At 45.9% G+C, this 13683-nt stretch overlaps 1 protein-coding gene across 4 annotated transcripts in view, besides 1 other annotated feature; it reads left to right on the top strand.

Annotated features, from left to right (window-relative positions):
• The window catches only part of ZCCHC14 (zinc finger CCHC-type containing 14), an 86777-nt gene that overhangs the window by 35958 nt on the left and 37136 nt on the right, over positions 1 to 13683 (top strand). The gene's annotated exons all lie outside the window — the stretch shown is intronic.
• Positions 3531 to 4031: an enhancer, noted in NCBI's record as "H3K4me1 hESC enhancer chr16:87486642-87487142 (GRCh37/hg19 assembly coordinates)". NCBI's record gives its function as "activates a minimal SCP1, AML or CMV promoter by ChIP-STARR-seq in primed H9 embryonic stem cells {active_cell/tissue: H9 hESC(primed)}" and the evidence as "EXISTENCE:reporter gene assay evidence [ECO:0000049][PMID:30033119]".

Below are 13683 nucleotides of genomic sequence, written 5' to 3'. Positions count from 1 at the left end.
TCCAGCGCTCCAGTCCCTGTGTTGATGATTTACTGAAACTTAGGGAAGCTGTTGTAGTGTACAAGCTGAGATGGAAACTGCTTTTACTAATACTCTCAACAAAGTAAGTTCTGTAACTTTGGACTTTGAGGAATTATAATTTTTTAAAGTTTTCTTTTTGTGAGACAGTGAAGGAGGTATACTTTCATTAAACTTGTTTATATACCAGTAGTTTTCAATCTTTTTGGTCTTAGGACCCCTTTGCACTCTTAAAAATTAGAGATTCCAAAGAATCCATGTTTATGTGGGTCACATCTATAGGTATTTACCATATTATCGATTAAAACTGAGTTTTTAAAAATTATTTTAAATGAATGTTTTCCATTGTGTGCCCCTGGGGTTTGTGTTTGCCATGCAGCGTTGTTACAGCTGAAGAGAGCTAAAGACCAAACTCCAAAACAAAATCTATCCCAACCAATTAGAACATGAATTCTAAGAAGACAAGAATTCACCTAAAATCTAAATTTTTTTTTTTTTTTTTTTTTTTTTTTTTTGGAGACAGAGTCTTGCTCTGTCGCCCAGGCTGGAGTGCAGTGGCGCAATCACAGCTCACTGCAACCTCCGCCTCCCGGGTTCACGCCATTCTCTTGCCTCAGCCTCCGGAGTAGCTGCTGGGGCTACAGGTGCCGGCCACCACGCCCGGCTATTTTTTTATATTTTTAGTAGAGACGTGGTTTCACCGTGTTAGCCAGGATAGTCTCGATCTCCTGACCTCGTGATCCGCCCGCCTCGGCTTCCCAAAGTGCTGGGATTACAGGCGTGAGCCACTGCGCCCAGCCCTAAAATCTAAATTCTAAAATGCCCACAGTCTGTGGCCTTTCCTGGGTTGTGCTGGGATTCCAGTGTGTAGCCGAAATCGAGAAGCCTTGATAGTTTCAATTTCCTTATGGGTTCTTTATCTAACATTTTATTATGAGGACTTTGAAACACACGGTAAAGTTGAAAAAGTTTCACAGTGAGTACCCTTCACCTAGATTAGACAGTTCCATTTTACCGCATAGATGCTTTTCAACTTACAGTGGGGGCTGCAAGTTGAAAATACCACAAGTTGCAATGCAGTGAATACACCACACCTGCTACACATCATGGCTTAGCCTAGCCTACCTTAAATGTGCTCAGAACGCTTGCATTAGCCTGCAGGTGGGCAAAATTATCTAACACACAGCCCACTTCATAGTGAAGTTTTGACTCATGTAATCTATTGAGTCTGTACTGAAAGTGGAAAACAGAATGGTTGTATGGGCGCTCGAAGCAGTTCCTTCTGAATGCATGTTGCTTTTGCACTGTTGTAAAGTCGAAAAATCGTCAACTCCAGCCATCTTCAGTCAGGGACCATCTGTACTTACTATTTTTAAGCTGGTTGCCTGTAGCATTCCTCAGCCACGGATTCTGATTTGAACCCCAGGGCACAGAGAATCATTTGAGTGATGGTTTTCTCAATTTCCCTGAAGAAAATGTGATTAGAGACACAGGAGGAGTCAAGTTCTTCATCGTAGAAGAGCTTCTGTAGGACGCTAGGACTTTGCGCCCTCTATGAGCCCCCCATTTAAGAGAAGCAACAGGAATGCACTACACATCTTTACCTTTTCAGGCTCTACTCTGAGTTAATGTTGAGCCACTCCATGTGACACAGAAGCCTCTTGTCACTGTGTTGTTCATTGGGGTGCCGAGGCCAGCTCATGGTATCTCCTGAGAGCCAGTCGTTCACTTTCCAGTATTTTTTTTTGCGGGGGCGGGGGGGGACGGAGTTTCACTCTTGTTGCCCAGGCTGGAACACAATGGCACGATCTCGGTTCACCACAACCTCCACCTCCTGGGGTCAAGTGATTCTCCTGCCTCAGCCTCCCTAGCAGCTGGGATTACAGGCATGTGCCACCACGCCTGCCTAATTTTGTATTTTTAGTAGAGATGGGGTTTCTCCATGTTGGTCAGGCTGGTCTTGAATTCCCGACCTCAGGTGATCTGCCCGCCTCGGCCTCCCACAGTGCTGGGATTACAGATGTGAGCCACGGCGCTCGGCCTCCAGGATTTTTTAAAGCCCGCTGATGTTGCATTGGTGGCTGATGGTGGCATGTCGTCAGCCGTGGCAGAGCATTTATGCTTTGTGGATCGGCAGATGACACAGATCAGGGGCCGCCCCGTCCTCACCAGTTGTCAGCCGTTTACCAGGCATCATCAGTGCAGCTCTGCCCTGTCCTGTATGTGTACTTGTCACATGGGTCCAGCTACGTGTGCTCTGCACCATGTAAAACAGGGCTAGGATTTTTGCATCTATTCTAAGAAAGGAAAAGGAAAAAGATGATAGTCTTTTATATTATCCATACTATTTACTATTCCCACTGCTCTTCATTTTATCCTGAAAATTGGAATTTCCATCTGGTCTCATTTCCCGTCAGCCTGAAGAACTTCCTTTCACATTTCTTTCACTGCAGTTCTGCTGACAGTGGATTTTAGTTTTCATTTATCTGAAAATATCTTTGTTTTGCCTTCATTCTGGCTAATTATGGAATTCTTCATTGAGAGTTTTTGTTTTAACTTTAACAATGTCATTTTGCTATATTCTGGCTCTTGTTTTTCTAAAGAAAAGTCCTCTAGCATTTCTGTCGCTGTATGCCGTGGGCCATTTTTCTCTGGCTGCGTTGAGGATGTTGTCTTTGGTTTGGAATGGTTTGTCTGTGATGTGCCTTGGTGTAATTTTCTTTTATTTCATTTCTTGTTTACTGAACTGCTTGTTTCAGCTTATGTTTTGCACTACAACAGAAACTTTTCAGCCAGTATTGAAGTATTCTTTCTTCCTCATTCTCCTCCTCTTCTCCATCTGAGACTCCAGTTCTCATGTATGAGAAACCTTTGGTCTTGTCCCACAGATCTGAGGTGAAGCTCAGTTCATTTTTCAAATTCTTCTCTCTCTCTCCCTCAGATGGGACATTTTCTTTTTATCTGTCTTCAAGCTCTTGTACCCTTCTGTCATTTTCAGTCTGCTGGTACACCAAGCTAATGGACGTTTTCATACCAGATATTGTATTTTTAGTTTCAGAATTTGTGTATGGTTCTTTTTTATAATTTCTCTTTTTCTGCTGAGATTCTGTCCATTCATGTATTGTGGGCATTTTTGTTTTTACATCTTTGAATGTCATTATAATAGCTGCTTTCAAATCCTGGTCTGCCAGTTCCAGCATTGGGGTCACTTAGGGCTGGTGTCCATTCATCGCGTTTTCTCTTGAGTATTCCTCACATTTCCCTATTTTTATGAATGTCTAATTCTAGATTGTGCCATTGTGTGTGATTATAGAGTTTCCAGCTTTTCTCATGTTCTGAAGAGTGTTGTTTCTCTCTTGCAACAGGGAATATTGTCTGGACAAGGTCGAGGCTTCTGCTGGTGGGGGCAGGCAGCAGATGGAGGTGCCTTAGTCCTTAGACCGCACCAGCTGTGCGAAGTCGGCCCTCCACCGTGGCTGGGGCAGCCAGGTGTGTGGCGGGCACGTGCAGAGCCTGGGCTTTGTCTGGGACGCTCTCCTTGGTGAGCAGCTGCGCTCATCCCAGCCCTATCCCCTCTTCCCAGGGCTGGGCACTGACGGGGGAACTGACAGGGCCCGCCCTCGGGTGAAAAGCACAAACCCGCACCCTCCCATGTTCTGCGGCCTTCCTCCAGGTTCTGCCTGCTCCCACTACTCTCCAGTGACTTCAGAGGGGTGTTTTGTTCTGTAAATACATTTTTTTCCCCAGAATCGTTCTTTGTTATTTGTGGAAGGGTTGGTCCTGTAGGAGCTGTTGCCATGACTGTGGCCCAGCGGGCCCAGGTCATGCCACCTGCCCCTAGTCGGGCTCTGCGTGAGCGCTGCTCGCTCCCAAGCATGGCTTTGTCCCCCAGGAGCACCCCCTTCCTTCCAGCAGGTGGCTTTGCTGGAGGTTGTCACAGGTCAGCGTTCCATCTTCCAGCTTGTTCAGAAGCCAATCTGCCCCTCTATTTCGCCTCCCCTCCCAGGCTGTGTCCACTCCTCTGTCAAGGGAGACGGGTGCTTGGCGTCCCCCTCTGTATTCAGCCTTCTCTCCTTTCTCAGGGCCCCCAAGGTATCTCCACTTGGGCGTGGGCACATGTGTGCACTTGGGCCACCTGAGCCCTCCTCCCTGTCACGTCACAGCCACGCTGCTGGAAGGCATGGGGCTTCGCTGTTTCTTTCAGCTGCACCACTCACCCCAGCCTCAGCACCTGCACCTCCCTGAAACTGCTGTCACGAGGGGGGTCACCAGGGGCTCCTCAGCTGACAAGCAGGGTAGGTGCTTTCAGAGCTCACTACCTTTTCTTGGCATTTGTGACTGCCCTGCCCCAAACTCCATCCTCCCTTGGCTGCTTCTGTTTTTTTTAAATTGTGAAATGTCATCCCTGTGCAGCTGGTGGGCTGCATTAAATCGGTTTCCTGAGAACACCCTTGCCTGGCTTTCCCCTTGCCTCTCTGTTTCCTTTGAAATTCCCTCTTCTTGTGTCCCTCAAAGGCTGGTGGTCCCGATAGCGCTCTTCTGTACCCTACTTTACGCTTTGCCTGAGCCGTCTTACCCAAGCCTGTTCTGCAGCCACTATCCCTCTCTTGGTGGCTTTCAGCTCTGAGTTCAGCTGAGACCCTTACAGACTCCAAGTCCTCGTCAGCCACTGATAACGTGAATATTTCCACCCATGCAGCCAGTGGGTATGCAGTCGCCCACCCAGCATGGAGCTGCCAGCTCCTGCCTGCCCTCAACATGGTTCCCACATTGGTGATTGATCCCAGCATTCGAGTGCTTAGAGCGAAACCTGTAAGTCCAAGGTAGCTCCTCTCCCACATGTGGCTTTGGCCCTGCAAGGCTATCATTGTTTCTTCCCCCTCATCTAGGCCTCCATCTTATCTGTCACTTTGTGGGTCCCTCTGTCTCTGGCCTTGCCCCTCTTCAGTCTGTCAAGCAGGGACCAGTCCAGTACACACTGCGTCACTGCACGCCCCTGCTTACGGCTTGTCCGTGGTGGCTCAAGAACGCTGCAGTCAGCCCACACTTGCCCAGCCCCGTGCCGTGCAGGGAGAGCCGGGATTCCTTTTGCTCAGGCGAGGACATGCGGCTTTGAGGGGTGAAATAACTGCCCAGGCTCGTGAGCTAGAAAGTATCACATTTCAAACCAAGACATCTGAATGCAGCAGACCTGCAGGATTTCTTTCCGTGTTCACTGTGGTGTCACCAGCCAGGGAGCTGCTGCCTCTGTGTGACCTTCTTCCTTCCCTGTATCAGCTCCTGACGCTCCCCTTCCGCTCCAATGACAACAGCACTGTCCTGCTCCTGGGCCCTGACTGTAGCATCCCTCTGCCCAGAATAGGCCCTGCCCTTGAAGCCTAGCACAGCATCACTTCTTTGAACCTTTTCATTTTTATATCACTTATGGCTGGCGCTGCGCTTAGAACGTACTAATGCCGAGCAGAATGTTTACCTTAATATGTAAATAAGTGACTTTCCTAAGGCCCCTAAATTCAAATGCCACATCACTAATCATTACAAATGGAAATTTGTCTGGGCATGGTGGCTCACGCCTGTAATCCCAGCACTTTGGGAGGCTGAGTTGGGTGGATCACCTGAGGTCAGGAGTTTGAGACCAGTCTGATCAACATGGTGAAACCCCGCTTCTACTTGAAATACAAAGATTAGCTGGGTGTGGTAGCCACGTGCCTGTAATATCAGGTGCTTGGGATGCTAAGGCAGGAGAGTTGCTTGAACCCGGGAGGCGAAGGTTGCAGTGAGCTGGGATCATGCCATTGCATTCCAGCCTGGGCAACAAGAGAAAAACTCTATCTCAAAAAAAAAAAAAAGGCTGGGCGCCATGTCTCACGCCTGTAATCCCAGCACTTTGGGAGGCCGAGGCGGGCGGATCACCTGAGGTCAGGAGTTTGAGACCAGCCTGGCTAATGTGGTGAAAGCCCATTTCTACTAAAAATACAAAAAATTAGCCGGGCATGGTGGCACGCACCTGTAATCCCACCTACTCGGGAGGCTAAGGCAGGAGAATCGCTTGAACCCAGGAGGCAGAGGTTGTTGTGAGGCAAGATCGTGCCATTACGCTCCAGCTTGGGCAACAAGAGCGAAACTCCATCTCAAAAAAAAGAAAAGGAAAAGGTGTTCACTTCCTGTTTTTGCTACTTTAAAAATATTATCAGACCATGCGCAGTGGCTCACGCTTGTAATCCCAGCACTTTGGGAGGCCAAGGCAGGCAGATCACTTGAGCTCAGGAGTTCCACACCAGCCTGGGCAACATGGTGAAAATCCGTCTCTACAAAAAAAGATGGCACATGCCTATAATCCCAGCTACTCACTCAGGAGGCTGAGGCAGGAGAACTGCTTGAACCTGGCAGGTGGAGGTTGCAATGAGCCGAGATCATGCCATTACACTCCAGTCTGGGCAACAGGAGTGAAAGCCTCTCTCAAAAAAAAAAAAAAAAAAAGAATCTATTATCAGCTTTATGTTTTCCCAATTACTCACTACTTTTGTTTCTCTTTGTGAAGAACTAACAAATGAAATTAATGCAATGTAGCTAGATAATAAAAAACCAAAGAAAAATAAATTATATCATGTTCTTAAGTATAACATTGCATGTCCTAAAAAGATGTAGGGAAGAAGGAGCAGCTTAATCAGTGTGATGGTGAATGTTCAAATTCTAATAACAGCTACAAGAGGTAATGCTTCTAGAAATTATCCCATTAACATAGACAAGCAAATGAAAGTGAGAAAGTCAGTTGATATTTTAGGAAAATTATTATTTAACTGCAAGTCTTAAGAACACAGTTTTCCAATTTTTAAATGAAAACTGGCTTTTGGTAATAACATTTTAAAGCAGGAAGTATCTACGGTGTGATCGTGGTACAGCTCTTAGTTCAAGTGTGAAGACATTTGGTTGTCTTGTATATGACCTAGAAGAAGGGGCGTCTGCTGGAAAACAATGCTGTTCTTTTTCTCTTTGTTTTTTGAGACAGGGTCTTACTCTGTTGCCCAGGCTGCAGTGCAGTGCCTCAATTTTTCAGTTCAGTGCAGCCTCGACCTCTGGGGCTTAAGCAATCCTCCTGCCTCAGCCTCCCCAGTAACTGAGACCACAGGCACACACCACCACACCCAGGTAATTTTCATATTTTTTGTAGAGACAGGGTTTTGCCATGTTGGCCAGGCTGGTCTTGAACTCCTGGGCTCAAGCCATCCACCCACCTCGGCCTCCCAAAGTGCTGGGATCACAAGCGTGAGCCCCCATGCCCAGCTTATCCTGGGTCATTTTTTAAACTCTCCCCTCTACCATAAATAATATTCCCTTTACTGTGATTTTTTAAGCATAATTTTGTAAATTGTTGAAGTGGTTTCTCATTGTTGGGAATGTAGATTAAACCACTTAATAAAGATACCTTGAAAGCAAATTAAAGAAAGACATTTGGCGGAAAACTACTGGTTTTCTTCTGTAGGTCTCTGTTGACCTAAAGAGAAAGGGATTGGGGTTTGCTCTCTTGGTGGCGTTGCTGAATTGGTCGGGGTCTGTCGCTGCGCCTCTGCACCTGTGTGATTTGCTGAGTGCTCCTCTCTCCTCCCTCGTGATCATGGATGGAGGGCCTAGGAGCCCAGGAACCATGGTGCCCTTCCCCCTGTGCTGTGCCCCTCACCCTCTCTTCCCTGCATCTATCCCTTTCTACTTCTCTTCAGAGTTTTAGAGATAGGAACATTAAAGTGTGCCCAATTGTTTTTATGAGGTTTTGTTCTAGAGAAAGGATGTAAGGAAGCTTGTAAAGACAGACCACAACAGGTTTAAGAGATGCCTGGGGTGTGTTGGTCAGCTACAGCTGTGTAACAGCCAACCAGCAGAGCTCAGGAGCACCCAAGATGAGCGCCTTCCTCACGGATGTGTGGGTTGGCTGGTGTCAGCTGGGCCATGCTCCGTGACTGTTCAGGCCGTAGTGGCTGGGGTGGCTCTGACTCAGGCGTCCCTCATCCTCCTTGAACTGGGGACCAAGGGCACATGGGAGCCATGAGGATTCGTAAGGCCGAGCTTGGGCCGGCACACGGTCGCTTCTGCCTCTTTCTGATGTCCGCAGTGAGTCTTATGGCCACAGCTCCAAATTCAAGGATAGGAAAGTCTACACTACCGTAAGCCAGCTGCAGCATGGGTTTCAGTGTGACGAGGGGTAAAGAACTGTGGCAGAGAATTCAGACTACTGCAAAGTACACAGACAAGTCAGAGAACAGAGGCTGATCTTTTTGATAAGCATCCTACTTAGGGAAACTCCAATTAACATTTTGTGGGAGGCTGAGGGGATATTGCATTTGTCAGATGAAAGCTGGGTGCCATGAAAAAAGAAAACATGAAGACCAAGAGAGAGTTGTTGGGATGTAAAAGTGACCACCAGAGCAAAACATTCAGTAGTGTTCGAGGATTGCCGAATGTGGAGATACAAGGTAGAAGGTGAGTGGCGCAAATGGGCAGCCAAGCTCAGCCTCTGAAATGCAGGGTGGCTGGAAGAGAAGATGAAAGGAAGGAGCATGTTCAGTACGCACGGGAAGAAAACGGCCTCGTGAGTCTTCACACGAAAGGGCAGACTGAGTGCTGAGAAAGGTGAGTTGAAAACACCCATGTCGAGACGCATTGTTGTTTTTTTTGATAAGGGATCAAGAAATGATCTTACACGTTTTCAAAGGAGAACAACAAAACAGATTTCACCTGTGAAGAAACCAGAATCAGGCTAACATTGGACTTGCCATTTGCAACAGTGGATGCCAGAGGACTGTGGCAAGCCAAGTTTTGAATGAAAGTTATTTTCATTCAGAATAACAAAATGTTTCAGATTTTGGAGCATTTTGGATTTTGGATTTTCAGATTAGGAATACAGCCTATATAAGGAAATGGAAGACGTTAATGATTGTGAAGATTATCTTCCTATGGAAGAATGGTATGCATTCCAAGCAGTAGATTACACATATATTAATGCAATTAGGTTTTTTTCTACCAGCAGAAAAAAGAAAGGCAGTTAACTCCAGAGCACTCATACCTGCTTGTACACACAGATTGTCCAGGGATGTCATGATTCAAGTCGCCAGTCATCAGGGAAATGCACATCAAAGCCACAGGAGAGTATCATTTCTATTCACCGAGGTAATGGAAGTCAGAAGGACAGAATAGCAAATGTTAGGATCAGAAGCAGCTGGAGCTTTCATCCGCAGCTGATGGGAGGATTAAATGGTACAACCATTAAGAAAACAATTTGGCATTTCTTATGAAGTGATAAATGTATCTTATATTCCTGCAGTTCTCGTCCTAGGGAATTTATCCCAAAGAAATGAAAGCGTACATCCACAACAGCACTTGGAGATGAAGGCTTATAGCAGCTTATGCATAATAGCCCCAAACTGGAAACAACCCAGATGTCCATGAGTAGGAGAATGGATAAACAAGCTGTGGTATATTTATACAATGGAAGAGAACTCAGTCATTTTCAAAGCTAATACATGTAACCACATCGGAATCTCAAAAATACAATGTTGAATGAAAGCAGGGCCCGTGTATGGTCCTGTTTATATGACGTTCAAGACTTTTTAGAGAATTGAAAAGCACTGCGTCTTGATTCAAGGATTAGTGATCACATGGGCATATAAATGTACCCAAACTCATTGAATTGTACACTTCAGATCTCTGCATTTTGCTCTATGTAAATTTCGCCTCAAATTAAAAAAAAAACACCTGACCCCCTTGCCGTTTCACACAGGCCCTTTGCAGTCTGGCAGGTGTCCAGGCTGCCTGCTTAGTTCCCCCTGGCCCAAAATATGTGTGGGTGGAGGGGTGAGGTCTGTTTCTTCCGCCATCTTTAAGAATATGTATGTGTCTTATAAGGCTCTGCCCCAAAAGAGCTTTGCCGGAGTGTCTTTTCCTAGTCTATTGGCAGAATTCTGTCTTCCTGTTGAGTCTTAGATGACGTTATATGTATTTTGAATGTGAAAATTCTCATGTGGTATTTGTGTTACTAAATTGTCTTCTCATATAGAATGTTGGTTTGCTGGCCGGGCACGGTGGCTCATACCTGTAATCCCAGCACTTCTTGAGGCCAAGGCAGGTGGATCACCTGAGGTCAGGAGTTCAAGACCAGCGTGGCCAACATGGTGAAACCCCCGTCTCTACTAAAAATACAAAAAAACTAGCCAGGCATGGTGGTGTGTGCCTGTAATCCCAGCGACTCGGGAGGCTGAGACAAGAGAATTGCTTGGGAGGTGGAGGTTGCAGTGAGCCAAGATCGCGTCACTGCACTCCAGCCTGGGTGGCAGAGCGAAACTCTATCTCAAAAAAAAAAGAAAGTCAGTTTGCTGACCTCAGCTATAAACCAAGGAAAGCAAAGCCACTTTTTCATCATCTCATTTGCTCAAAAGGTAGAGTTTGTTGTCAGCATTTCCACTGACACTCTGATTCAGGAGCTGGCAAACGTTTTCTGTAAAGGGCCAGGTAATTCATGTTTTTGTGTTTGTGGGTCATGTGTAGTCTCTGTCTCATAATTTTTTTTTTTTTTTGAGATGGAGTCTCCCTCTGTCGCCCAGGCTGGAGTGCGGTGGCGCAATCTCAGCTCACTGTAACCTCTGCCTTCCAGGTTCGAGTGATTCTCTCACCTCAGCCTCCTGAATAGCTGAGATTACAGGTGCGTGCTACCACTCCCAGCTAATTTTTGTATTTTTAGTAGAGACGAGGTTTTGCCATGTTGGCCAGGCTGGTCTCAAATTTCTGACCTCAAGTGATCCACCCACCTTGGTCTCCCAAAGTGCTGGGATTACAGGCGTGAGCCACCGCACCCTGCCAATTTTTTTTTTAAGTCTTTTTTTTTTTTTTTTTGAGACGGAGTTTTGCTCTTGTTGCCCAGGTTGGAGTGCAATGGCGCGATCTTGGCTCACTACAACCTCTGCCTCCCGGGTTTAAGTGATTCTTCTGCCTTAGCCTCCCAAATAGCTGGGACTACAGGCATGTGCCACCGTGCCTGGCCAAAATTGTTTAAAGTTTAAGAAAAATACTGTCGATGTTTGGAGTAAGGAGTACCTAAAAATATTTTTTAAATCAATTGGGAAGATGATAGGACCTAGAAAAATAGGTTGATTTCCAAACAGCATGCGTAATTAGATGGAATCTTCTTTAATTAAAAAATTAGTTTTCCCTCAACAATCATTATTTAATTTGCTTTATTTTAAAATTTGGCATCAAAAGAGACACTACAACCCTGTTCTGGAAAAATGTTTGTGATATGCTGTGGTTTTGCCCTGGTCTTCAGTTCTTGGCCAGATGGTCAGCATGTGTGTTTCTCAGGTCGGCGCGTCATCACATAGTCGTAGCGGCTGAGCCCACACGCCGTGGCTTGAGGGACTATCTGGTAATAAAATATCAAAGGAAACTTCAAAGGAACATCTGATCACATGGTGGCCTGTTAAAACCTATACCAAGTAATTCCTGAAGATTTGGAAGAATGGATTATGATCCTTCACAGTAAAAACAAAATACAGGAAGATAACACAGCAATCATAATTAACAGAAAGAAAGAAATTCAACCTCTCCAATGAAAAAAATAAGCACTGACAGACAATGCCTTTCTTCTGATGGTACACACTGAGGGAATAGATCTGCGTCTTTAAAAATGGTTCATTTTAGGCCAGGTGCAGTGGCTCACGCCTGTAATCGCAGCACTTTGGGAGGCTGAGGTGGGTGGATCATGAGGTCAAGAGATCGAGACCATCCTGGTCAACATGGTGAAACCCCGTTTCTACTAAAAATACAAAAATTAGCTGGGCGTGGTAGAGCACACCTGTAGTCCCAGCTGCTTCGGAGGCTGAGGCAGGAGAATTGCTTGAACCTGGGAGGCAGAGGTTGCAGTGAGCTGATATCACACCGCTGCACTCCAGCCTGGTGACACAGCAAGACTCTGTCTCAAAAAAAAAAAAAAAGTTTATTTTGAAAAACAAAATCACAAATTTATAGAAAAGTTGTCACTACAATATAAAGAACTTTCCTGAAACATTGGGAGTGAATTGTGGATCTGATCCCCCAACATCCCCAAATCGTGATCATGTGTTTTCTGCAAACAATAAGTACTGCCATCAAGATCAGGAAGTTGGCATTGAGATGTCACCACCCTCTAATTCTCAGGCTTACTCCCATTCCGGCCATTGTCCCAGTAATGCCTTTTATACCCAGAGGATCAAGTTCGGAATCCCAGGGTGCATTTGGCCTCCTTTGTATCCTTCAGTAGCTGCTCCTCCATCTTCCCTTGTCTTTCATGACCCGGATACTTTAGAAGATTATGAACCACTGATTCTGCCAACCATCCCACAATCTGGGTTTGTTTGATACTTCTCCTGACTAGATTCAGGCTGTACATCTTTGCCAGGAACATGCTACGCTGCTCTCACTGTGTCCTGTCGGGTGGTACAAGCTCTCAATTTGTTCCGTTACTGATGACAGTCACTATATTAATTTTCATGCTATCTGCCAGGATTCTCCTGTGTAAAAATTACTTTCTAACTAGATAAATAGTCTGTTTCTTATCAGACTTTCAGCTTAATCATTTATTTAAGTTTGTATGGGATTATTGTTTCCTGTTTTATTCAGTGAGTTATAATCCATTAATGTCGTTACTCTGATGTTGAAGCTGTACCAGATTTGGCTGGTGGGAGCCCCTGAAAACTGATGTTTTGTGTCTTTTTAATATGTCCTGTCATTCTATGAGCAATTCCTTGCTTTCTGACATAACAAGATGTTCAACACTCAGCTTTCTTTCCCCTAGCCCTGAAATCAACAATTTCCAACGGCCTAGGTTCATTTAGTGGGAAATGGGTTTTAGAAGCCAAAATCTGATGCTGTGTGTGCCCTGCTGATGGAGTGTGGCTGCTCTAGGCCTTCTCAGTGACAGTCTAGCTCCACAGGGCCGTTTCTGTGTTTTTCCTTTTCTTTCTTTCTTTTTTTTTTTTTTTTTTTTTCTGTGATAGAGTCTCACTCTGTCACCCAGGCTGCAGTGCAGTGGCACAGTCTTGGCTCACTGTAATCTCCGCCTCCCAGGTTCAAGTGATTCTCATGCCTCAGCCTCCTGAGGAGCTGGGACTACAGGCATGGGCCATCACACCTAGTTAATTTTTGTATTTTTAGTAGAGATTGGGTTTCCCCATTTTGGCCAGGCTGGTCTTGAACTCCTGGTCTCAAGTGATCTGCCTGCCTCAGCCTCCCAAAGTGCTGGGATTATAGGCATGAGCTGCAGCTCCTGGCTTTTTTGGTTTTTGTTTTTGAGATAGTATCTCACTCTGTCACCCAGGCTAGAGTGCAGTGGTGTGATCCCTGCTCATTGCATCCTTGAACTCCTGGGCTCAAGGGATCCCCCAGCCTTGGCCTCCCGAGTAGCTGGGGCTACAGGTGTGTACCACCACACCCAGCTAATTTTTTAAATTTTTAGTAGAAATGGGGTCTCGCCATGTTGCCCAGGCTAGTCTCTAACTTCTCAGCTCAGGCAGTTCTTCTGCCTTGGCCTCCCAAAGTGCTGGGATTACAGGTGTGAGCCCCCATGCCTGGCCACTGTCAGCATCTTTTAAATTTACTGATCCCAACTCAGCTGACTTACCTGGTAGCAAATAAAAGGCTCAC

The sequence above is a fragment of the Homo sapiens genome, chromosome 16, assembly GCF_000001405.40.
Source record: "Homo sapiens chromosome 16, GRCh38.p14 Primary Assembly".
NCBI classification, from domain to species: domain Eukaryota; kingdom Metazoa; phylum Chordata; class Mammalia; order Primates; family Hominidae; genus Homo; species Homo sapiens.
This window is presented reverse-complemented; position numbering and strand designations above follow the sequence as displayed.